The sequence below is a fragment of the Homo sapiens genome, chromosome 20, assembly GCF_000001405.40.
Source record: "Homo sapiens chromosome 20, GRCh38.p14 Primary Assembly".
NCBI classification, from domain to species: domain Eukaryota; kingdom Metazoa; phylum Chordata; class Mammalia; order Primates; family Hominidae; genus Homo; species Homo sapiens.
Window position 1 is genome coordinate 4,134,349 of NC_000020.11, and position 23,804 is coordinate 4,158,152.

Genomic DNA, 23,804 nt, shown 5'->3' on the forward strand with positions numbered 1-23,804 from the left:
CAGACACCACGTTGAAGCCATGGGGCTAGCGAGAGTGTGGGGAAGGGGAGGCAGTCAGGACCAAGAGGGGCCCTCCCACATTCAGAGGAGCATTGTCCCGTGAGGCAGGAGGAAAACCGGGAGAGTGTAGGGTCCGAGACGTCTACAGCAGAAAGCCTTCCCAGAGGGAGGCAGCGGTCAGTGGACTGGATGTTTCTGAGAGATTGAGCGAGGTGGGGACCATCGGATTTGGCCACGTGGGAGGTGCTGGAAAAGGAAGCTGGCCTGCAGTGGGCTGGGAAGGAAGGAGCTGGGGATGGGAAGGACCCACAAGCCTTGAAGAAGGTTTGCTGTGAATATCACGGAGGAGGGGCGTGGTCGCTGGAGGCAGATAAGGAGGTTAGGGTAACCTTGTTTTGTTTAGATGAGAGCGGCTGGAAAATGTGTGTATTTTTATGGGAACAGTCCATGAGACAGGGAGAGATGGAAGAAACAGGAGAGGAGGGAGAACTGAAGGAGGAGGGGCACAGTGGAGTGAATGGCTTTTGCTAGGAGCAGGATGCCTCCCGTGTCTCAGAAGGGACAGCAGGGTGGGACAGACAGCCCCTAGGACAGGGTTGAGTGATTTCCCCAGCAGCGCTCTCTCTCTGAGAGCTCTCTGGGGTGTGTGCAGAGAGCGTAGTAGGTGGGTCTAACTCCATCAGTGATTCTCAAAGTGAGCTTGATGGGCGAGCAGCATCGGCATCACCAGGAAACTAAGAAATGCAAACCGTGGGGCACCACCCCAAACCTACTGGATCCGAAACTCCGCGGGCGGGGCTCAGCCATCTGTTTTTCACAAGCTCTCCAGGTGATTCTGAAAGTTTGAGAAGCACTGAACTAGGGCGAAGGAGCCCAGCGCATGCAGATGACCCAAAACGTCTGGATGAGAATGGCTTCAGTTCTTCGAGGAGGCAGAAGTTCATGTGGTATGAGCTCCAGGGGTGTCTTCTCTCTTCGCCAGGGACAGAACTATAAGTAAACCCTGGAAATTTCCAAGCATGGAATGCCATTCAGAGGAACTCTGAATCTTTCTAATGAAGGATTATTTATCAAGACAAACAACACACTTCAATGTACCTATTCTTTTTCCACGCCTGCATTTGAATATCAGGTTTCACCTATCTTGATCTTTGCTCCTGCCAGCAGTGATTTGAAAGGACCCTGGACTCTGTCTCCCTGGGTCACCTCTTTCAGGGTTGTCCCGAAGACCTTCTTGTGGCCTGGTCCATCTTTCCACATGGCTCAATTCCAGTTTTCATTTCTGTTGGGAAATAGCAGTGACCTGGCTTGGCCATTCTCTGTGGGAGGCCTTTTTCTTCTCTGCTGAAATAAAGACAAAGATGACTCAGCCTCTCCCAACCTCCAGGATTTCCCAGTCCTTCCAGTGACTCAGAGGATGGTCTATTTAATGGGTAACTAACAGCTCCTCCCAGGAAGTTGGCGGCCCCAGCCTCCCCCTACCTGAGTCACCAGCTCTGGGATGCTCCCATCAAGGCACAGTTACCTTCGAGACCAGGGGAGGCAAACCAAGAAAGATCAGCAATAAGTGGATCAGGAAAGAGGACAGAAGCTGAAAGGCTAGATTTGTTCCTCATTTGCTGGCGGCCTTGGGTGGACCAATGGAGGGCTCAGTGTCCCTATTTGAAAATGGAGAAATTGTGTATCCTCTGATATCATAGCTGCCCCAAAGGAGAGAAGATAAGCCCAGCCCTCTGGAACTTTTCTGTGCAAAAGGAAGGGAACCCTGGGGGTGGGTTTATCCTTGAGGATTTCTAGGACAAGCTGTAGCAGGGGCAGGGCATAGCAGGAGAGTGGAGGAAGGTGGGGTGAGGGGCAGGAGGTCAGATATGGGGTGGGCTGGCCAGGGGCAGGGCCGGAGCGATAAGTGGGAGGCAGGGAAGCTTGGCGAGGAGCAGGACCTGGAGGGCGCAGGGCACCTGGTGGGAACAGTAGCCCAAGACCTTGGTTTTGTGATGTCCTCAATTTTGCCCTGCTTTCTTCTCCCTGACTCCTTCACTACTTCTTTGCCTTTGCTCTTCTCCATTCCTCTCCTCCCCCTTCTCTTTTCTCTCCTCCTTCCCTCTCTCTTGCATCACTGAGAGCATGGAGGCAGCCTTCCCATGGGTTGAGCGTTTCCTTCCTGTTTAGATAGTGAGTGGCATCTGCTTTTGGAGCAGCCATCGGTCCATCCTGTTTACTTGTTGCTGACCCAGTGGGTTGTGGCCAGCGAGGCCATCCACCAGGACCCCCACAGGGTGGAGTGGGAACCAGGGCGCTGACACACACACAGGCATACACATAGCCATGACCAGGTCAGGCTGCCCTACTGGAGTTGATGTTTGGGATGCTGTGGGATTGGCAGCTGGGCCGAGGTCATCTCCTGTGCTGTTGACACGGATGCCCCAGCCTGCCTGGCATGGCTCAGGGCTCGGAAAAGATCTGACTGAGGCTGAGCACGCGGCCTGCAGCTGCTCACAGGGTCAGGGGAGGAGTAAGAAGCAGAAAGGGAGATGCCGGAGGGGCGACATTAGGAGGCACCTTGTCCGGTGGTGCTGTGATTCCTCATGAAGGAGTTAGAGCCAGACAAGATAAAGGGCTTACAGGACGGGTGCCCTTCACCACACCGCCTCCCTGTTCCACCTCCCCTGACCGGGCCCTTCCTTAATTCATGTGATTTGAGATGCACTCCTTTGCTTTTCTTGATTTCTCTAAATGCTGTGCAGTGGCTACTGTTCAGGGTGACGCTGGAAACTGACAAAGTTTCCAGGGGCCGGTGGTATGGGCTGGGGAAGGGGGCAGGCCTGTGAGAGGACAGATGGTGGAGGCGATGGCATTTAAGTAGAAAGTTGGAGGAACCTGAGGCAAAAAAAAAAGTGCTTGAAAGGCTAGGTGTGGTGCCTCACACCTGTAACCCCAGCACTTTGGGAGACCAAGGCGGGAAGATAGCTTGAGGCCAGGAGTTCGAGACCAGCCTGAGCAACATTGCAAGACCCCATCTCTATAAAAATAAAAAAATTGGCCACGCGCGGTGACTCACGCCTGTAATCCCAGCATTTGGGGAGGCTGAGGCAGTAGGATCACCTGAGGTCAGGAGTTTGAGACCAGCCTGACCAACGTGGAGAAACCCTGTCTCTACTAAAAATACAAAAAAATTAGCTGAGCATGGTGGCGCATGCTTGTAATCCCAGCTACTCAGGAGGCTGAGGCAGAAGAATCGCTTGAACCCAGGAGGTGGAGGTTGTGCTGAGCCGAGATTGTGCCATTGCACTCTAGCCTGGGCAACAAGAATGAAACTCTGTCTCAAAGTAATAATAATAATAATAAATCTGAAGAAGCTGATTAAAAAAATAATATTAGGCCGGGTGTGGTGGCTCACACCTGTAATCCCAGCACTTTGGAAGGCTGAGGTGGGTGGATCACCTAAGATCAGGAGTTCAAGACCAGCCTAGCCAACATGGTGAAACCCCGTCTCTGTCAAAAATACAAAAATTAGTCAGGTGTGGTAGCGAGTGCCTGTAATTCCAGCTACTCAGGAGGCTGAGGCAGGAGAATCACTTGAACCCAAGAGGCAGAGGTTGCAGGAGAATTGCTTGAACCCAAGAGGCAGAGTACCATTGCACTCCAGCCTGGGAGACAAGAGCGAAACTCTGTCTCAAAAAATAAATAAATACATAAATAAAATGATAATAAAATAAAAAGGAAAAAAAAGATGGGTGCTCTGATTTTAAGATACTGGCCTATGACCTGACTCCTAAACTCTGAGATAAGGGCCTAAGCATACAAAGATTATCAAAGAAAAAATCAAGGAATAAACAAAACTCACATAAGCCGATTCTAGAGGTGTGGCCTGGGCTGCTCTAAAGGGATTTGTGGAATTACTGAGGTTACCTGAAACTCTCCAGGAATCTGGCCTCCTGGGCTGATTACACACCAAGAATGATGGTGAAAATCCAGATAGTCCGGGGGACCCAGATCTGCCACTCATTGCTGTGTGGCTGGGCCAGTGCTTCTACTGAAAAATTATTCATTGTCTGCCTGAAATTCAGACGTAACTGGGTAAACTGTATTTTTTTATTTTTTATTTTTTTTATTATACTTTAAGTTCTAGGGTACATGTGCACAACGTGCAGGTTTGTTACATATGTATACATGTGCCATGTTGGTGTGCTGCACCTATTAACTCGTCATTTACATTAGGTATATCTCCTAATGCTATCCCTCCCCCCTCCCCCCACCCCATGACAGGCCCCGGTGTGTGATGTTCCCCTTCCTGTGTCCATGTGTTCTTATTGTTCAATTCCCACCTATAAGTGAGTACATGCAGTGTTTGGTTTTTTGTCCTTGCGATAGTTTGCTGAGAATGATGGTTTCCAGATTCATCCATGTCCCTACAAAGGACATGAACTCATCCTTTTTTATGGCTGCATAGTATTCCATGGTGTATATGTGCCACATTTTCTTAATCCAGTCTATCATTGATGGACATTTGGGTTGGTTCCAAGTCTTTGCTATTGTGAATAGTGCCACAATAAACATACATGTGCATGTGTCTTCATAGCAGCATGATTTATAATCCACTGGGTATATACCCAGTAATGGGATGGCTGGGTCAAATGGTACTTCTAGTTCTAGATTCTTAAGGAATCGCCACACTGTCTTCCACAATGGTTGAACTAGTTTACAGTCCCACCAACAGTGTAAAAGTGTTCCTATTTCTCCACACCCTCTGCAGCACCTGTTGTTTCCTGACTTTTTAATGATCGCCATTCTAACTGGTGTGAGATGGTATCTCATTGTGGTTTTGATTTGCATTTCTCTGATGGCCAGTGATGATGAGCATTTTTTCATGTGTCTCTTGGCTGCATAAATGTCTTCTTTTGAGAAGTGTCTGTTTATATCCTTCGCCCACTTTTTGATGGGGTTGTTTTTTTCTTGTAAATTTGTTTGAGTTCTTTGTAGATCCTGGATATTAGCCCTTTGTCAGATGAGTAGATTGCAAAAATTTTCTCCCATTTTGTAGGTTGCCTGTTCACTCTGATGGTAGTTTCTTTTGCTGTGCAGAAGCTCTTTAGTTTAATTAGATCCTATTTGTCAGTTTTGGCTTTTGTTGCCATTGCTTTTGATGTTTTAGACATGAAGTCCTTGCCCATGCCTATGTCCTGAATGGTATTGCCTAGGTTTTCTTCTAGGGTTTTTGTGGTTTTAGGTCTAATGTTTAAGTCTTTTTTTTTTTTTTTTTTTTTTTTTTTGAGACGGAGTCTCGCTCTGTCGCCCAGTCTGGACTGCGGACTGCAGTGGCGCAATCTCGGCTCACTGCAAGCTCCGCTTCCCGGGTTCACGCCATTCTCCTGCCTCAGCCTCCCGAGTAGCTGGGACTACAGGCGCCCGCCACCGCGCCCGGCTAATTTTTTGTATTTTTAGTAGAGACGGGGTTTCACCTTGTTAGCCAGGATGGTCTCGATCTCCTGACCTCATGATCCACCCGCCTCGGCCTCCCAAAGTGCTGGGATTACAGGCGTGAGCCACCGCGCCCGGCCACGTTTAAGTCTTTAATCCATCTTGAATTAATTTTTGCATAAGGTGTAAGGGAGGGATCCAGTTTCAGCTTTCTACATATGGCTAGCCAGTTTTCCCAGCACCATTTATTAAATAGAGAATTCTTTCCCCATTTCTGGTTTTTGTCAGGTTTGTCAAAGATCAGATGGTTGTAGATGTGTGGTATTATTTCTGAGGGCGATAACTTGTATTTTCACTTGCAAATCTGAAAACCTCTCTGAACCGTCCAAAGGACAGATCCTAGCCCCAACTTGAGGCCATCAGCAGCAAACCTGGAATTACTTTGAAGCCTGGGATTTCACCTTAAAAACTCATATAAATTTCAAGCTCATCTCCATGTTTCTATCCTTGTTTTGATATAAAACAGGTATTAAATCGTCCTGGTTAAAAAGCAAGTGTTTCGGCCGGGCACCATGGCTCACGCCTGTAATCCCAGCACTTTGGGAGGCCGAGGTGGGTGGATCACCTGAGTTCAGGAGTTTGAGACCAGCCTGACCAACATGGTGAAACCCTGTCTCTACTAAAAATACAAAAATTAGCCGGGCATGGTGGCGAGTGCCTGTAATCCCAGCTACTCAGAAGGCTGAGGCAGGAGAATCGCTTGAATCCGGGAGGTGGAGGTTGCAGTGAGCTGAGATCTCACCATTGTACCCTAGCCTGGGTAACAAGTTGGTCAGGTGCTAAAATAAAATTAAATTAAATTAAAAGGTCACTTTTTTTTAGATGGAGTTCGAGACCACCCTGGCCAATATGGTGAAACCCCATCTCTACTAAAAAATACAAAAAATTAGCCAGGCGTGGTGGCACACGACTGCTGTACCAACTACTCAGGAGGCTGAGGCAAGAGAATTGCTTCAACCTGGGAGGCAGAGGTTGCAGTGAGCTGAGATCGCGCCACTGCACTCCAGCCTGGGTGACAGAGTGAGACTCCATCTCAAAAAAAAAAAAAAAAAGAAAGAAATACAGAACCTCAGGCCCCATCCCAGACCTGCTGAATCTGAACCTGCATTTTAACAAGGTCCCCAGGTGATTTGTATGCAGTCTGCCTTAGTGACCTGTCAGGAGTCTCATCTTGACGGGTGGTCTCAGCAGTAGTTGGCCTTCTTCAGTGGGAACCTGAAGGCCACGGAGGCTTGCCTTCCCATCAGAGCTTGCTGCAGTATCTCCCACCCATGGGTGTACAAAATTGGAGCTTTTATCCACAGGAATGGAACTTGGATTCATCCTTTGCCTGGGTCTATTAGTGTCTTTTCATCAATGCATCATTGTTCCATTGGGACAACCATACAGTAACCAAAAATGTTGGCTGAAGATCAGGGACTTCTGTCTTGGAGGAGAAACCCGAGGATAACCAGTCAGAATATGTGTAGAGGAGATGATAAGGCATACAGTTTGGCCTTGACTTCGAATGCAACATTCATTTACTACATGACCATACAGGCCTGGTTTTAAGCCATGCACCTTCTTGTTTTCTAATTCTTTTTTCAATCATATGACACTGACACAAGTTATGAAAAGACTGGGCAAGTGAGGGATGTTCTTTATTTGTCCTCTGTGTCAGCCAGTTATCACCATGACAGTGCTGTGAAACAACCATGAAATTGGCACACAACAATTCCTATTTATTTCTCATGTGAGTAGGGTGTCTGGGATGACTCTACTGATCTCCTGTATCTATAAGTTAGCTGGGTGTTACAAGCTGAGCTAAGCTTGGATCAGATAGGCGGCTCTGCCTCAAGTTACTCTTTGGGTGAGTTTGCCTCTGGGTGCTGGATTGAGTTCTGGTCTGCTTCTGTGTTCATTCTGTGGCCCTAGGCTGAAGGGCAGTGGCTGTCTAGGAAAAGGCTTTTAATAGAGATGATAAAAGCACAAGGAAGTGGAAACACGTGAGAACTCTTAAAGCTAAGGCTCAGTAGGGACACACTACCACTTCTTCCCTATTTCATTGGCCAGGGAAAGCCACACTGTCAAGCCCAATATCAGTAGTTAGGAAAATATAATCCTCTTTTCCGAGTCCATGGCAAGAATGTGGATGCAAAATACTATGTAAGGAAGTGAGGAACGTGGCCAATACGTCAGTCCACTATATCTTCCAACTGGAAACTACGTTTCTGTGGATATACATGACCCATTCCTTTATAAAATTCCTCTTGGCAAAGAGTGCTGGCTGTTCACCAAACATCACTTTCCTACCCTTCCTGGATATACAGCTAGGACACATTTCCCAGCCTTCTTCGTACTTAGATGTGACTATGTGACTGGTTTTGGTAAATGGCATGTGAGTGGAAGTATGTCATTTTTCAAGCTAAGACTTTCCTCTGCTGCTGGTTTTATGCAGATTACTACAAGACCTTAACGGTTGTTGGAGGCACAAGATGGAATGAGCCTAGATCCCTGAATCACTATGTGGAGGAAGGCCATTATGAAACAGGAATATTCCTTTATTGTGTCCGTAAGATCTAAACTTCTATTACGTTGGAGTCATTTATTCTTGGGTCTCTGTTCCACTAGCCAGCATTACTGTAACTAACATATTTCTTAAAGCCCTTCTTTGTTACTCACCTTTCATCATACATGGTAACCCAGCGCCTTGTGATGGTGGGTGTGAAGTGCTCCGCACATGTGAAATCTGACTGTGATCAATGCTTTACTAATGTTCCAACACAAAATGGAATCTAAGTCAGCTGCACTAATGTGACAGAGACTGGTGCTAATAATTACTGACATTTGGAGAGGACCTGATGGCTTGGACATCACTTTTCACACCCTTTATTCTTTTTAATCCTTACTACATCCCCGAGAGGCAGACTTTTATCATTACCTCCATTTTACAGAAGACAAAATGGAGTTCTCCAAACTTGCCGAAGGCTTCACAGCTGGCCATTAGATACCCGCACCCGACCTCCTTCCCCTCGTTGTCCTGTGAGGAAACGATGAGGAGACTTCTCAGCTCCACTCCATTTTACACCAATCAGGCTCCAAAGGCCTCCTTGGTGAGGTAGAAAAACAGATTCTACCCAAGGCTGCTGGTGCTGCTGGTGTGACTTATAAGGAGAATTTGCAGTTCCCAGGCTTTAGTTGAACCTGCCTGCCCTAGGAATCTGTTCTTGAAGACAACAGCAAGGTATTCCTGGGGGCTTCTGCTTGGTGGTAGATTACTTGCAAAGATGGCTGCCAAGGAGTCCTTCAATTCCTGATGCACAGTGGTTATGGGTTGAATTGTGTCCCCCTAAATATGCTGGGGTCGTAACCCTGAGTACCACAAGATATGACCTTAGTTGAAGATAAGGCATGATATATTGTTTGTGTGTATGTGTGTATGTATATATATACACCGTATATTGTGTGTGTGTGTGTATATTACACACACAATATACTGTGTATATATATACGCACACACACACGATATTGTGTATGTACATATACACCCACACATACACACACGATTATATTGTGTATGTGTATACACACACACACACACACACACACACACACATGTTTTTGTCCATGGTTCTTAGTTCATAACTCCCATAGCCCTTATTATTTCCTAAATGACCAAAACATATCTTTTGTTAAAATTATTTGTCCTTTTGTCTTTGGTTCCTGAAGTAGCTTCAGAACAGCTTCAGAGCCATGAAGGTGAAAGGCAGTCTTTCGTTATAATGTTGGGGGACTTTAGGCCTCAGAAGACAGAACTGCTCTCTCTGACCTTCTTCATCTACCTTTCACCTGCTTCTTTTTCTCCCCAAGGCAGGCTGTAGAAATGAAAGATATATTCTAATTTCCCCCCATCTTTCTGTCTTGGAGCTAGCCATAAAGAAATTCTCTGACTTATCTAATTGCAGGTCATAAAATCCTCATTTCAGAGGGGTCTTGCCCCATTCCCTGGAGGAAGGACTGCTGCACGGAGAGGCTAAGAAGAATCTGAACAGACAGGCCTTGCTGGGTTTCCCCACTCAGTCTATTAGTATTAGATTATACCCTTTTTGTCTAATCACATTTCTACACAGTTGTCCTTATACCAATCATGTCTATCCGATGAAGTCTCCATAAAAGGCCTAAGAGGAGGGGTTTGGGGAGTTTCTGGACAGCTGAACTCATAGGAACATGAACAAGAACTCATCCACGTGCCCAGAGGGTGTTGTACCCCAACTCATAAGAATGGAAGCTCCTGTTCTCAGGATACTTCCAGACCTCGCCTGTATAATCCCATCATCTGGCTATTTATTTGTATTATTTAAATAAAGATATTACATTAATTAATTACTTCACTAACGTATTTATTTTTTTCTTCCACTGCCAGAAATATTTGTATTCTTTAAAATATCCTTTTTTTTTTTTTTTGAGACTGTCACTCTGTTTCCCAGGCTGGAGAGCAGTGATACCATCTTGGCTCACTGCAGCCTCTGCCTCCCAGGTTCCAGCGATTCTCCTGGTCAGCCTCCCAAGTAGCTGGGATTACAGGCAAGTGCCACCATGCCTGGCCAATTTTTTATTAGTAGTAGAGACAGGGTTTCACCATATTGGCCAGACTGGTCTTGAACTCCTGACGTCAGGTGATCCACCCGCCTTGGCCTCCCAAAGTGCTGGGATTACAGGTGTGAGCCACCACACCCGACCTAAAGTATCCTTTCTAATAAACTGGTAAACATGTTTTCTGGAGTTTTGTGAGCCACTCTAGCAAGTTAATCAAGCCCAAAGAAGGGATCATGGGAACACTAACTTGAAGCTGGTTGGTCAGAAGTTCCAGAGGCCTCGGCTTGCAATAGGCATCTGAAGCTGGGGCAGTCTTGTGGGACCGAGCCCTCAACTTGGGGGATCTGCCACTATCTCTAGATAGATAGCGTCGGAATTGAGTTGCATTAGAAGATGCCCAGCTGGCTGGGCGCGCTGGCTCACGCCTGTAATCCCAGCACCTTGGGAGGCCGAGGCAGGTGGATTACCTGAGGTTGGGAGTTTGAGACCAGCCTGACCAACATGGAGACACTCCGTCTCTACTAAAAATACAAAATTAGCCGGGTGTGGTGGCACATGCCTGTAATCTCAGCTACTTAGAAGCCTGAGGCAGGAGAATTGCTTGAACTCGGGAGGCAGAGGTTGCAGTGAGCTGAGATCGCACCACTGCACTCCAACCTGGGCAACAAGAGTGAAATTCCATCTCAAAAAAAACAAACAAACAAACAAAAAAAGAAATTGCCCATTGCAGAATTGCTTTGCTTGCTTACTTATTGGGGAGCAATTTCCCATGTTTGGTCACAGAAGTGTTCTGTATTGATTGTTGGGGCATGACAGCAGAGGATAAACAGTTTGTTTTTCAGCCCCTGGGGTTTTTACAGAGGTAATCAAGTTAAATGAGGTCATTAGGGTGGGCCCTAATACAATGTGACTGGTGTCCTTATAAGAAGAGGAGATTTGAGCTGGGCGTGGTGTCTCACACCTGTAATCCCAGCACTTTGGGAGGCTGAGACAGAAGGTCATGAGTTCGAGACCAGCCTGGCCAATATGGTGAAACTCCATCTCTACTAAAAATACAAAAATTAGCCAGGCGTGGTGGCACACACCTATAATCCCAGCTACTTGGGAGGCTGAGGCAGAAGAATCACTTGAACCTGGGAGGTGGAGGTTGGAGTGAGCCGACATCCTGCCACTGCACTCCAGCCTGGGCAACAGAGCAAGACTCCGTCTCAAAAACAAAACAAAACAAAACGAAACAAAACACCCAAAACAGGCCGGGCGCGGTGGCTCATGCCTGTAATCCCAGCACTTTGGGAGGCCGAGGCGGGCGGATCACAAGGTCAGGAGATCCAGACCATCCTGGATAACACAGTGAAACCCCGTCTCTACTAAAAATACAAAAATTAGTGGGCCATGACGGTGGGTGCCTGTAGTCCCAGCTGCTTGGGAGGCTGAGGCAGGAGAATGGCGTGAACCTGGAAGGCGGAGCTTGCAGTGAGCCGAAATGGCACCACTGCACTCCAGCCTGGGCGACAAAGCGAGACTCTGTCTCAACAACGACAACAACAACAACAACAACAACACACACACACACACAAACCCCAAAACAAAACAAGAGGAGATTTGAGAGATAGCTCATGGGAAGGTGATGAAGCCAGTGAACACCAGAGTGCCAGAAAACTACCAGAAGATAGGAGAGAGGCTGGAACAGATTCTCCCTTCTAGAGGGAACCCACCTACACTTTGATCTGGATTAATGCCTCTAGAACTGTGAGAAACTAAATTTCAGTTGTTCAAGCCCCCTAGTCTGTGGCATTTTGTAATGGCAGCCCTAGCAAATGAGTACAAGACTCTTTCCATCAAGAGGTGGAGTTGATTTATCCTTCCCTTGAATATGGGCTGGCCTTATGCCTTTCTTCAGCTATAGAATGTGGTAGAAATCATGGCTTGGCAGTTCTGAGTCTAGGTCTTAAGATGTTTGGTTGCTTCCATATTCACCCTCTGGGAAGCCAAGCCACCACATGCTAAGGAAGTCTAGGCTATCCTGCTGGAGAGGTCCCATGGAGAAAGAGGCCATTTTGATTGTTCCAGCTTCAGCCAAGCTTCCAGCTAATGTCCCCAGTCAACATCACATGCAGTAGAACTGTCCAGCTGAGTCCAGCAAACCCCCAAAATTGTGAGAAATAAGAAATCATTCAGCTGGGCACGGTGGTTCGTGCCTGGGAGGCCGAGGCGGGCGGATCACCTGAGGTCGGGAGTTCAAGACCAGCCTGACCAACATGGTGAAACCCCGTCTCTACTAAAAATACAAAAAAATTAGCTGGGTTTAATCCCAGCTACTTGGGAGGCTGAGGCAGGAGGATCACTTGAACCCAGGAGGCGGAGGTTGCAGTGAGCCGAGATCGCATCACTGTATTCCAGCCTGGGCAACAGAGCAAGATTCTGACTCAAAAAAAAAAAAACCGTTGTTTTAAACCACTATATTTGGGGCAGCTTGTTATGTAGCAATGGGCAACTGAGACGTGCATCTTCAGTTCAGTGGGGCAAGTACTCCAGCATCTCTGCCACTGTTGCCCTTAGTGCCTCCAGTGCCATCCTTCCACCCTCCTCCCGGTGGATTCTGGGTGACTCCTGCCTCCTCACATGGCTTGCTTCTCTTCTTTTTTATTTTTATTTTTTAAAGATACATTCTGTTTGATGTTCCCAGCATTGCTCACTTCCATACACTAATTTTCAGTGGTGCATCTTGTTGGCAGGGCCTGGCTGCTGCCAGCGCTTCAGCTGCAAAGGAGACTGGGAAAGAGTGTTTCTGGCTTTGGCATGTGGGGAGGGGTTGGGGATTCATGACATGGAAAGGTCCCCTAACATAGAAAGATGTTCAAAAGGTACTGGCACTCCTGAAATGTAATGAAGGTCTTCAACCATGGCCAATACTTTTTGGGAACTTAATGTGTTCTTGGCACACAGCTCTGGGTCCGTTCACCTTCTAAAGATAAACAGGGCCCTGAAATCACCTTTCCTCACTCTCCACCACATGAATTAGGATGAATTGACTCTAGGGATGGGTGTGTGACTCAGACTCAACTAATCTGAATATCAGAACCTCAGTGATTAGTTTGGAATGATATGTGAACCAGTCCAAGGCAACTAGGTGTCACCTTGGCTTTTTGCTGAAATAAATGAGGACTTGGGCTGTGAGGGTGGAGCCTAGAGCTGCTGGAAGCCAACTTCCTACTGCAAAGAACAGAGATGAAAGATAGGGGAAGGAAGACCAAATCCTGATGTATTTTGTGCTTCTTGGTACCTGAATCAGTCAGACCACCTTTTATGTCAGCATATAAATTACCTGTCTGCTTACACCAAGCCAATTTGCATAGTTTCCCATCATTTGTAATCCATCAAGTCCATATTAATATTTTTATTTAATAAACTTTTTTTTTTTTAATTTTTTTGAGATGGTGTCTTGCTCTGTCACCCAGGCTAGAGTGCAGTGGTGTGATCTTGGCTCACTGCAACCTCCGCCTCCCGGGTTCAAGCGATTCTCCTATTTCAGCCTCCCGAGTAGCTGGGGCTACAGGCGCCCGCCACCACGCCCAGCTAATTTCTGTATTTTTAGTAGAAACGGGTTTCACCATATTGGTCAGGCTGGTCTTGAACTCCTGACCTCAGGTGATCCACCCGCCTCGGCCTCCCAAAGTGTGGGGATTACAGGCATGAGCCACCGCGCCCGGCCTTATTTAATAAACTCTTTGGAGTAGGTACTATTTATTAACCCTGTTTTACAAATGAAGAAACTGAAGCAAAGAGATTAAGCTTACCTAAGGCTACTTAGGGGCAGAATTCAAATCCAGGAGATATAATTCTGAGAGCTAACAAATATTCTGCTCTCCTTGGTGACCCAGGAGGATTCACAGAGGAGGTTGTGACATGTAGACTAACATTTAACCCCAAGAGGGCATAGGGATTTGTGGGGAGGGGTGAGGAGAAGAGGCTTCCAGGGGATGGAATAGCTTGGGCAATGACAAGGCTTTTTCTGCTGAGAGGAAACCTCACCTGAAATTCACTTGTCCCAGTCCTGAAGCCTGTCCCCAAGCGGTTCCCTCTTGGAGGGGAGCATCAAACCCCATTTCTCCAGGGCCACCTCTACCCTCCTGGCTTCTGGACCTCTGCCGCCGCCCTGTGCTACACGCCGGGGCCTGTCCCGCTGTGGGTCCCCTGCGGGAGGGGGGCCCCTGCTAGGGAGGGAGGGGGTGCGGGCCCAGATGTGGGCGTGGGACCCGGGTTTCCGAGGCAGGGATCCAGCAGTCTCCGGCTTCAGGGGCTTCTAGCTTCCCGGCTCCCGGCGGGGCGGGCCCGGGGAGGAGCTCGGCGGGTCCCCGCCCAGAGGCGGAGCGGAGGGCCGGGCCGGAGCGGGGTGGGTAGGGGACGCGAGGCGGAGCGGGGCCCCACACAGGCCGCGGCGGCTGGCTCGGGCCCCTACGGTCCCGGCGGCGGCTGGAGGAGGAAGCCAGGCGGCTGGCGGAGGAGGAGAGACGGAGGAGGCCGAGACCGGAGCGCCGCTCGCCGCAGACTTACTTCCCCGGCTCAGCAGGGAAAGGTACGGTGCGCCCGCTCTCCGGCCCCGGGCCCCGGCTCTCAGCCTCCCCCGGGCGCAGGCAGGGGCTGCGGCCGCCGCGAGAGGGTGAGGGGCCCGGAGCGGTCCCCGAGGGCTCGGCCGGCCCGGGGCTTGGGCGGCCAGCGCGGCGCTCGGGCGCTCGGGCGGGGGTGCGGGGCGTTCCGGGAGGCTCGCGGGGAGCAGGGGGCGCCGCGCCCCCCTGGCTTCCGCCGGGGTAAGCAGTGGTGTGGGCCGGGGTGGCGGCGATCCCGGCGCCAGGGCTGCTCGGCCCGGGCCGGGCGCCGGGGGTAGAGGGCCGGACGGACCCCCGGGCTACGTGCGGGAGGGGAGCGTCCCGGGCGCCCTGCAGGCGCGCTCCGTGGGCGCAGACAAAGCCGGGCGCGGACGCCCCGCGACGACTCGGGCTGCCGGGAGGGTGGGCACCGGGGAGAGGACAGAAGGCTCCCGGGTGATGGCCCGAACGCCAGGAGAGGCTGTGCTGACTTCCCCCTCTGGGCTCCGGGCGTCCGGGTGGTCCCCTTGGGGCCCCGGGCAGGGTGAGGAGCAGCTTTCTCTTAAGGGCCAACTAGGGGCTCACGGGTTGTCCCGGGCTTGGCGGGAGCCGGGCTCGCAAAGGGTTCGGGTGTGTTGGAGGGCTCACTTTGTGGGAGGGGCTGAGGGAAGCCACTGCCCTGGGGTAGGGGCGAGGGCTCCTTTAGAGCAGTTGAGGGGCCCGCGGAGCTTGCGCCAGGGGGACTTGGCCCGATGAGATACGCTCGGTGCCCGGCACGTATAGTGAGAGGTGCCCACAGGTTGTTTGCAGAACCTGCTGTTGGTGGCACATCACGTACCAGTCTGTGGGGGCAACTTGGCCGTGATTGGAGCCAGCAGTAGGTGCCCTGGGGTTACCGGGAGCGACGCGGGCCGGGGTGCCATGCATCCGAAAGTGTGTGCAGTGAAGCCCCCACATTTGCATTCGGCCACCACTGCCCCCTGGCCTCTTGTTAGGCGGAGAGGGCATCCCAATTCCTGCCGCTGGCCCTGCCTCCGCTTGGACTCCAAGGTCCTCTCCCTGTCCCCCTTTCTTCAGTTACCTCCTCTCTCTCCAGTGTTAGAAGTGGCTTCTATTCCCCTGGATCGTCCACAGCATTATAAGAAATATGCCTTGGCACCCTGTCTCTCCAATTTTGTAGCCCCCTTTTCGCCTTAATCCCTCATTCCCTCCAGCTTCGGACCTTCTTCCCTTCACAGCAAAACTTCTCTGGAGAGCCTTCTGCACTCGCTCCTTCAGAGCACAGCTCTTCCGTTCTTTTGCTGGCTTGCCCTGACTTCGGTCCCACCCCTTCACTGAAACAGCCTCAGCCAAGCTCTCCAGTGAGCTCCACGCCCCCAAAAGCAAGTCTTCTTCCACCTCTCCTGGTCTCCTTGAACACTCTCCTTCAAGAACCAGTATCCTCCCTTGGCTTCTGGTTTTCTTCCCTCCTTGGCTGCCCTTTTTCTTAGACTTCTTTTCAGACAGCTCCTTCACTCAGCTCCAAATGTTGGAGGGCCCCAGGGCTTTGTCCGTAGCCGCTTCTCTCTCTGGTCTATTTACAAACCCTTCCCCGTTTCATTCTTTCTTATGATTTTAAAAATCAAGCATCAATTTGCAAACATACAGATCTTAAATGTACATCATTCTCATGGTTTTAAATAGCAGATTTTACCTCCAGCCCCAGCCTCTCTACCTAACCCCCCATCTGATGATTTATGATGTCCTGGATGACAAAAAACTTAATATGGATGAAACAGAACCCTGATGGCACTCCCCAGGCCTTCCCATCTCAGTGAATCGCCCATCATCTACTCACTTTTTTTTTTTTTTTTTTTTCTTTGAGACGGAGTTTCGCTCTTTTCGCCCAGGCTGGAGTGCAATGACGTGATCTTGGCTCACCGCAACCTCCACCTCCTGCGTTCAAGTGATTCTCCTGCCTCAGCCTCCCAAGTAGCTGAGATTACAGGCATGCGCCACCACGCCCGGCTAATTTTTGTATTTTTAGTAGAGATGGGGTTTCACCATGTTGCCCAGGCTGGTCTCGAACTCCTGATCTCAGGTGATCCACCCATCTTGGCCTCCCAAAGTGCTGGGATTACAGGCGTGAACCACTGCGCCAGGCCCATCTACTCACTTTTAAAGATGGGAAACCAGGAGCACAACTCCACCAAGAGCAAGTCCTTTTGGTTCTTTTCACAACGTTGATCTCAAGCCTGCCCTCTGTGCTCTGACTCCACTGTTAAGGCCCCAGGCTACCTGCCCCAAGCCAAGCCAAGCCGCGTAACCCTCTCCCCAGGTCTACACTTGCCCTTCTCTGATCTATTTTAGTAGAGCAGCGAGAATGTTATAGAAACTTTTGATAGGACCATCTCATTTCTCTAAAATTCGTGATAGCTCTCTATCACACTTGATTAAAATCTCAAAGCTTTCCCTCAGCCTACCAGACCCTTCCCAGTCTGGCCACAGCTGACCTCCCCAGCCTTATCTGGACCACTGTCCCCTTTGCATTCTCCCTGACAGACACATCTGAATCATTTCTGCCCTTTGGACAACCTAAGCTTTCTCCTGCCCCACGGCCTTTGCTTGTGCTATCTTTTCTGCCAGGAGTGTTTTCCAGTGCCCTTTACTGGCCTGGCTTTTCTCCTTCTTATTTTTAAGGTCTTCACTTAATTATACCTTCCTCAAATGCCTTCCCAGTCTTGGGAAGTCCCCCGTAATTAATCGTAGCACCTGACTTATTTTCTATATTATATTTATCACAGTTCACAACCATTTGTTACAATTGTTTGTATACTTGACTTATCTGGCTTCTTAAGGGCCGGAACCTTGACTGAATGGACCAGTGCTGTATCTGGAGCATCTAGCACAGTGCCTGGCATGTAGCTGATGCCCAGGAAATCTTCAGCCAGGTGGCAGGTTGGGGCTGGATTGGGCAGAGAGGTGGGTATTGCAGTGAGCACAGGAGTCCTCTTTAAACTTCAAGTGACCCTGAGGATTTTTATTTTCTTTCCACAAAAGCAACTGTGCAGATTGCTGCAAGAATCTAAGGGCGCCAATGGGATGTGAAAAAGGGAAGTGGAGAAGGTATGCGTGGCTGGAGGGCAGGGCTGTATGCCGAGGGCAGCCGGTGGGATGTGAGTCTGTGTGTGTGTCACTGTGGTTGGGGTAAATGATTTCCTTTGCTTTCTTTGGTAGAAATGCAAGCTGGGTCAGCAGAGGGATATGTGTGCATGTTGGGTGGGAGGGAGATTCTCTAGCTCACAAGATGTGGGCAGCCTGGGCAGCCAGGGATTGATTTCAGCCCACTCTCTTGGGTGACTGCTGGGTACCCAGCCCTGGGGTGGTCTCTCTCTATCTCTAGACTCTTGCCTTTCTACCCACAGCTCTCCTGTTTGCACAGAGGAGCCAGTTGAGTGTTAAATTGTGTGGCTGGTACTCTCAGAATGGAAGGCTGAGAGCCAGGGGACCTCAGATCTGGGAGGGAGGGGAGCTGACCCCTGGACAGGGGGACAGGGGTGGACTGAGGTAACACCGCGACGTGGGTGCTAGAACTAGGGGCAGTGGTCCAGATCTGGGATGGGGCTGGCATGCCTAGGAAAGACCTTGAGCTGGGATAGGTAGGGATGAGGAGGGCATCCTGGGTGGGAGGAATCAAGCAGAGGCCAAGAGGCAGGGCAGGGCCCTGGTATATTCACTGCATGCCCTGCATTGTTCTAAGCACTTTGCAAATGTTAACTCCTTTAATGCTCTTAACAGCTCTATAAGGTAGGTCTTATTCCCATTTTACAGCTGGGAAGACTGAGGCACAGTCATACAGCTAAATAGTGACAGAATGAGGATTGAATCCAAACATTTTACAGACGGGAGGACTGAGTCATAGTCATACAACTAAATAATAACAGAGTAAGGATTGAATCCAAACAACTTGGCTCCAGAATCCATGCTTGAAATCGGTCCACTCTGCCACTTCTCTCATGCCTCTCAGTTATGTGTCAGCCGAGGGCTTCCTAAGAAGAGGCTTTTCCTGCCTCCCAGAGGTGCCTGGCCTTAGGGGCTGGGGAGGTGGGAAAGAAGGTAGAAGGGGTCCTCGCTTGGAGTGGGTGACCGAATTTTTCTGCTTCATGCCCCACTTTTTCTTCCAGGAGGGGCTCCGGACCCAGGCCAATGGGTTGGGCATCACGTACACTGTGATTTTGGGGTGCTGGGAAGGTCTGCTGCTTCTGGTTCAGCTACCGCTTTCTGCCTGAGATGCCATCATTAGAATGTCACCCTTCTGGGTTTAGCATTGCCCTCGTCATCTGCCTGTAAAATGGGATTAGAGGGACTTTTTTTCTTTGCTCCCTGGAGGTCACATGCTTGAGTGCCTTCTCCTTGTAGACTCTGAAAGGAGGAAAGGCTTCCCCTGGGATGCCAGGCTGAGGAACTGGGCCAGGAAGGAGGGAGGAGGGTGTGTCAGCTCTGCCCTGGGAGGCTTTCCTGTTTGGCACGAGGATGACTCTAGGCAGGTGACCTGGCCTCCCAGGGACCTGGCTGGCTGGCTGAGGAACGGTTTGCTGACCACACAGGGATGGGGTCTGTTTTCTCTGAATTCTGAGCCCCAGAGTTGAGGGGATCTGCTCATCTATCTGGACAGATCCTGCCAGCCTCCTAGGAAGAGAGGGAGGCAGGGTTAGTGGAAACTGAGGCACAGGGAAAACATTGCTGTTGGAAGCTCACCAGCCTTCATGGTTGTCAGGAAGGGCTCCCTTCTCTGGCAGGGGAGCATGGGGGAGGCCTGTCCACGGTGCCCAAGTCCTTGTCTGCTGAGTCGAAGTGAAGGCTGTGGCCAAGCCTGAGGCGGGCAGGCTAGAGCTGAGGTGGACTTCCTGACAAGTAGACACTGGGCCTTGTTAGCTGTGGTCAGCACCTGGCATCTCCTGTGCCCCAGCCTGGTGTTCAGAGCCTTTGGGAACACAGGACACGGTTCCTGCTCTCCAGGAAATAAACGTGAGCCATGCCAGGTGTGATATAATGAGGTCCTCCTCCCAGAGGAGGTGGTGCTTTGGGAGGGTTCTGAAATCTTGGGCGGCTTTGGCCGACAGAGGAGAGGATGGCCTTCCTAAGGTGGAGGAGGAGAAGTGGGTTGAAGCCAGGTTGGGAAAGGCCTTGGCTGCCAAGCTGCTGAGTCTGGCCTTGATTCAGTAGACCCTGGGGAGCCTTTGAAGGTTATAGGGCATGGGGGCAATTACTTGATTAGGGCAGTGGTCTATAAAAGTGCTTTTCAAACTTGAATGCACATAGATCACCTAGGCAGCTTGTTAAAATGCATGTCTGTCCTGTCTGATTCACCAGGTCTGGGGTGAGGCCTGTGACTCCGCATTTCTTTCTTTCTTTCTTTCTTTTTTTGAGACGGAGTCTTGCTCTGTTGTCCAAGCTGGAGTGCAGTGACAGGATCTCGGCTCACTGCAACCTTCGCCTCCTGGATTTAAACAATTCTCCTGCCTCAGCCTTCTGAGTAGCAGTAGCTGGGATTACAGGTGCCCACCACCATCTTTAGTAGAGACAGGGTTTCACCATATTGGTCAGGCTGGTCTCGAACTCCTGGCTTCAAGTGACCCACCTGCCTCAGCCTCCCAAAGTGTTGGGATTACAGGCATGAACCACTGTGCCTGGCCTGAGACTGCATTTTTAATAAGCTCCTTGGCAGTGCAATGCTGCTGCTCCATGGAGCACGCTTTGTATAGCAAGGATTTAGACTGGAGTCTTGAGGGACGAGTGCAGTTCAGGTGGGTGGAACAGGGAACTAACTACCTTGGCTCCTGAGGCTCCTGTGTTGCGGGATGTGTAGGGAGCTGCCGGGGTAGGGGGTGGGGGTGGTGCAGGTGGGCTGGGGGCAGGACAGAGGGGACTGTAGAAGATGTGAGATGCAGGGGCCACTCTGCTGGGAGCTGGGGCTGTGTGAGGGCCTCTGGGTGCTTGGGTCATAGACCAGGAACATAGGTCTGATTTCCAGGGCCTCTGACTGTAAGGAGCTCCCAAGACCACGAGGGGGTATCTTGGGTGACTGTATCCCGGGGCAGGGTGACATGCAGACAGCACGGAGGGCACCTTATCTCTGTCCACAGCCGAGCCTGGCACTGTGGGCAACCAATCTGGGGTGAGCACCCTTCCTCCAGCCAGGGCGGGGCCGAGAGATTGGGGAAACAGCTGATCCGGCCCTCTAGCTCCAGCTGTGACGTGTCCTCATAGAAGACGGTAGTCTCCCCAGCTGCCGGGCCATCACCCCAGCGTGTGCAGTGCCTGTCACCCTGGCCCAAGTCCTTGTTGCTGCCGCTGATGGTTACGTGAGCTGCTGTCACTGATGGTTACATGAGCTGCTGTCGGGGGTCTTATCCCACTCTGGCCACCTCTGCGGCGTACGTGGGAGTGGGGGGGGCCTGGATGCTTCTCTCTGCTCTGCCCTGGCTGGGCCACTACAGGCAAGTGTCTGCTCCTCTCTGAGGTGTCAGTCTCCTCATCTGTAAACTGAGGGGTTCAGGTCCCTCCAGGGGGGTTATCACACGGTTTGCTGGGTGGGGCATTGCCTCTTCCCAGAGAGTCAGCTTAACACATTTTAGTTTAATATTAAATATTAAAGTTAATATTAAAACTCACATGCTAATGATGGGGTCGAATTAGCAATTTGCTTGGAAAAAACCATCCGGGTTGTTTTGGGGGTCTCCCAAGGCCCCTTGCACCTCAGGCTCTACATGGCCTGGGGTGCGTATCTGAGGACACTGGTGGGTTGAGTCCCCCCAGTTGCTGGAAGCGGGGTAGCAGTCACTACACCCAAAAGAAGGTACAGAGGGCAGACACAAAGGGCAAAGGTTCCACTGCCCTGGGCAGTGCCATGAGGGGCTGGCAGGGTAGGGGTTGACTGGCTCTCAGTCTGAGCTCCCCAGATATCCCACACACACCTCCTCAAAGGAGGGCAAGGCCAAGCCAATCACACCCCACTTTGATCCCTGCCCCTGGGCCAGGCCGTCCTGCGGGATGGGAGGGGATAACATTTCTCAAAGACTGTTCTGCGCAATCTCAAGCGTTCAGGGGACAAATAAGGGTAGAAACTGGCAAATTCACTCCACTACCCTACGGGAGATTCAGAATACATTTAAGAGAATTAAAGGTCCTGACAAGTCCTGTAGAAAAGAAACTGTTTAGTGTTTCCCAGCCTGATCTGACCGTGGAAATCTTTTTTTTAAATGACTGCCAATAATGTCCCACCCACCAGGAAAACACCTGCTGGGAAAAGCTGATGTGGAAAGATGCTGCTCACTGGAAGGCCACGAACATGGTAGCACAGGTGGACTTCCTGGTAGAGGTAGACTTGGTGGGATGGGCACATTTGGACAATCAGTAGAAGAAGAGGGCACTGCAGAGAGAGAGATGCCAGGCTCCCCTCTGAGGCCTCAGTTTCTTCATCTGTAAATCTTTGCCCCCCATGTCTGCCTCCCCACCTTCCTTTGGGTGTAGCAACTGCTACCCCCCTGCCAGTGCCTGGTGGGACCTCAACTGACCAGGGCCCTCAGATGTGCCCATCCCACCTCTACCAGGAAGCTCCCTGCCATCCTTCCTTTTCTCCCTGGTATTTCTGGGCCGAGAGCCAGCCCTGGGTTCTTGTGGCAATGGCTCTGCCTCACTGGGTGAATGAGGAAGGATCTGGAAGGACCTGTCTGGTGCCTGGGATCCCCAGGTAGCTGGGCCTGGGTCTTCTGGATTCTTTTTCTTTTTTTTGAGATGGAGCCTCACTCTGTCACGCAGGCTGGAGTGCAGTGGCGCAATCTCAGCTCATTGCAACCTCCACCTCCTGGGTTCAAGCAATTCTCTTGCCTCAGCCTCCCGAGTAGCTGGGATTACAGGCGCTCACCACCACGCCCTGCTAATTTTTGTGTTTTTAGTAGAGGTGGGGTTTCACCGTGTTGCCCAGGCTGGTCTGGAACTCCTGGCCTCAGGTGATCTGCTCACCTTGGCCTCCCAAAGTGCTAGGATTACAGATGTGAGCCGCTGTGCCCGGCCATCTTCTGGATTCTGAGAGGGCCTTTTCCTTATACCTCCCGGGCATTTCCTCGCTTTGCAAGTTCTCCCCAGCCTTTCATCTCAGAGGTTAACACAGCAGGGTTGTGAACTCTGGACAATAAGCTAAGCCTCTCTGTGCCTCCGTTCCCTCATTTGTACCATGAGGGTAATATTACCTCCCTCCTAGGGTGGCTGGGTTGTTGTGACACTCTAATACCGGTTGGCTGCTCTTACTACTGGATTTGACATGGCTGGAGGAGGGACCCTGGGGAGGGCCCTGTCATCGTGGACATGAGGGAAGAAAGCAAGAGCCAGCAGAAAGCGGCACAAGGCTTAGGTTGGGGTCCTGGTTAGACCAGAGTAGCCTGCAGAGGAGAAGAAAGAGGGTGTGGGTAGCTAGCAGGACTGGCTTCCTGGAGGAATGGCCAGTTAGGTGGGGAGATCTGGACAGAATGAGAAGTCACAGGTTTGAGTCTGAGAGTCAGAGGATCCTGGTGGGTGTGTGTAGGGGACAAGTGGCCTGCGGGCAGGGAGGAGGCATCAGGGACTACCTTCGTTCACTGGGCTGTGGCAGCCCACAGAAGGTTTTGAGCAGGGCAGTGATGTGATCAGAGCAGTGCATTAGTGAGACATGAGGCAGGGTGTGAGTGATGGTGGGCTGTGGGAGGGGGCGGTGCTGTGCCCCTTCATGGACATGAAGCTGGGGGAGGGGCCAAGTTGCGGACGTGACCCTCATTCTCAGACTCTCAGGGCAGTCAGTGAGGCTACCCTGCCTCGCCTCTGCCACACCTCCTTTCCTCTGTGGTGTGAGGCTCTTTGTTCAGCAGCTCAGGTGGGGGAGATGGGCTGTGGTATTTTTTATTTTTTATTTTTTTTGAGTTGGAGTCTCGCTCTGTCGCCCAGGCTGGAGTGCAGCGGCGCGATCTCGGCTCACTGCAACCTCCGCCTCCCGGGTTCACGCCATTCTCCTGCCTCAGCCTCCCGAGTAGCTGGGACTACAGGCGCCCGCCACCACGCCCGGCTAATTTTTTGTATTTTTAGTAGAGATGGTGTTTCACCTTGTTAGCCAGGATGGTCTCGATCTCCTGACCTCGTGATCCGCCCGCCTTG

At 50.8% G+C, this 23,804-nt stretch overlaps 1 protein-coding gene across 8 annotated transcripts in view, besides 11 other annotated features; it reads left to right on the plus strand.

The window, feature by feature from the left end:
• Positions 566–1,365: an enhancer, noted in NCBI's record as "H3K27ac-H3K4me1 hESC enhancer chr20:4115561-4116360 (GRCh37/hg19 assembly coordinates)". NCBI's record gives its function as "activates a minimal SCP1, AML or CMV promoter by ChIP-STARR-seq in naive H9 embryonic stem cells {active_cell/tissue: H9 hESC(naive)}" and the evidence as "EXISTENCE:reporter gene assay evidence [ECO:0000049][PMID:30033119]".
• Positions 566–1,873: a biological region, named in NCBI's record as "P300/CBP strongly-dependent group 1 enhancer GRCh37_chr20:4115669-4116868".
• Positions 674–1,873: an enhancer, noted in NCBI's record as "P300/CBP strongly-dependent group 1 enhancer chr20:4115669-4116868 (GRCh37/hg19 assembly coordinates)". NCBI's record gives its function as "activates an origin of replication core promoter dependent on BRD2, BRD4, P300/CBP, MED14 and CDK7 cofactors, with strong dependence on P300/CBP, by STARR-seq in HCT116 cells {active_cell/tissue: HCT116}" and the evidence as "EXISTENCE:reporter gene assay evidence [ECO:0000049][PMID:35650434]".
• Positions 14,201–14,620: a silencer, noted in NCBI's record as "silent region_12637". NCBI's record gives its function as "represses an Ori minimal core promoter by ATAC-STARR-seq in GM12878 lymphoblastoid cells {active_cell/tissue: GM12878}" and the evidence as "EXISTENCE:reporter gene assay evidence [ECO:0000049][PMID:35858748]".
• Positions 14,201–15,153: a biological region, named in NCBI's record as "H3K27ac-H3K4me1 hESC enhancer GRCh37_chr20:4129207-4130148".
• Positions 14,212–15,153: an enhancer, noted in NCBI's record as "H3K27ac-H3K4me1 hESC enhancer chr20:4129207-4130148 (GRCh37/hg19 assembly coordinates)". NCBI's record gives its function as "activates a minimal SCP1, AML or CMV promoter by ChIP-STARR-seq in naive H9 embryonic stem cells {active_cell/tissue: H9 hESC(naive)}" and the evidence as "EXISTENCE:reporter gene assay evidence [ECO:0000049][PMID:30033119]".
• Positions 14,480–23,804, plus strand: part of SMOX (spermine oxidase) — a 38,900-nt gene continuing 29,575 nt past the window's right edge. For 5 of the 8 annotated variants that reach the window (NM_001270691.2, NM_175839.3, NM_175842.3 and 2 more), the window contains exon 1: positions 14,480–14,629. The gene's annotated coding sequence lies outside the window, so the exon portion shown is untranslated. Of the gene's footprint in view, positions 14,630–20,867; positions 21,119–23,804 lie in introns of those variants that run through there. The other 3 variants (XM_047440218.1, XM_047440222.1, XM_011529261.3) reach the window with 2 other exon arrangements.
• Positions 15,154–16,095: an enhancer, noted in NCBI's record as "H3K27ac-H3K4me1 hESC enhancer chr20:4130149-4131090 (GRCh37/hg19 assembly coordinates)". NCBI's record gives its function as "activates a minimal SCP1, AML or CMV promoter by ChIP-STARR-seq in naive H9 embryonic stem cells {active_cell/tissue: H9 hESC(naive)}" and the evidence as "EXISTENCE:reporter gene assay evidence [ECO:0000049][PMID:30033119]".
• Positions 17,727–17,816: a silencer, noted in NCBI's record as "silent region_12638". NCBI's record gives its function as "represses an Ori minimal core promoter by ATAC-STARR-seq in GM12878 lymphoblastoid cells {active_cell/tissue: GM12878}" and the evidence as "EXISTENCE:reporter gene assay evidence [ECO:0000049][PMID:35858748]".
• Positions 21,591–21,760: an enhancer, noted in NCBI's record as "experimental_60212 CRE fragment used in MPRA reporter constructs". NCBI's record gives its function as "activates a minimal promoter by MPRAs in K562 erythroleukemia cells, with activity observed for both the introgressed and non-introgressed 20:4136671 or rs6076623 variant alleles {active_cell/tissue: K562}" and the evidence as "EXISTENCE:reporter gene assay evidence [ECO:0000049][PMID:34662402]".
• Position 21,676: a transcriptional cis regulatory region, noted in NCBI's record as "Neanderthal adaptively introgressed variant 20:4136671 (GRCh37/hg19 assembly coordinates) or rs6076623 in the experimental_60212 CRE". NCBI's record gives its function as "modulates activity of the experimental_60212 enhancer by MPRAs in K562 erythroleukemia cells {active_cell/tissue: K562}" and the evidence as "EXISTENCE:reporter gene assay evidence [ECO:0000049][PMID:34662402]".
• Positions 23,289–23,789: an enhancer, noted in NCBI's record as "H3K4me1 hESC enhancer chr20:4138284-4138784 (GRCh37/hg19 assembly coordinates)". NCBI's record gives its function as "activates a minimal SCP1, AML or CMV promoter by ChIP-STARR-seq in primed H9 embryonic stem cells {active_cell/tissue: H9 hESC(primed)}" and the evidence as "EXISTENCE:reporter gene assay evidence [ECO:0000049][PMID:30033119]".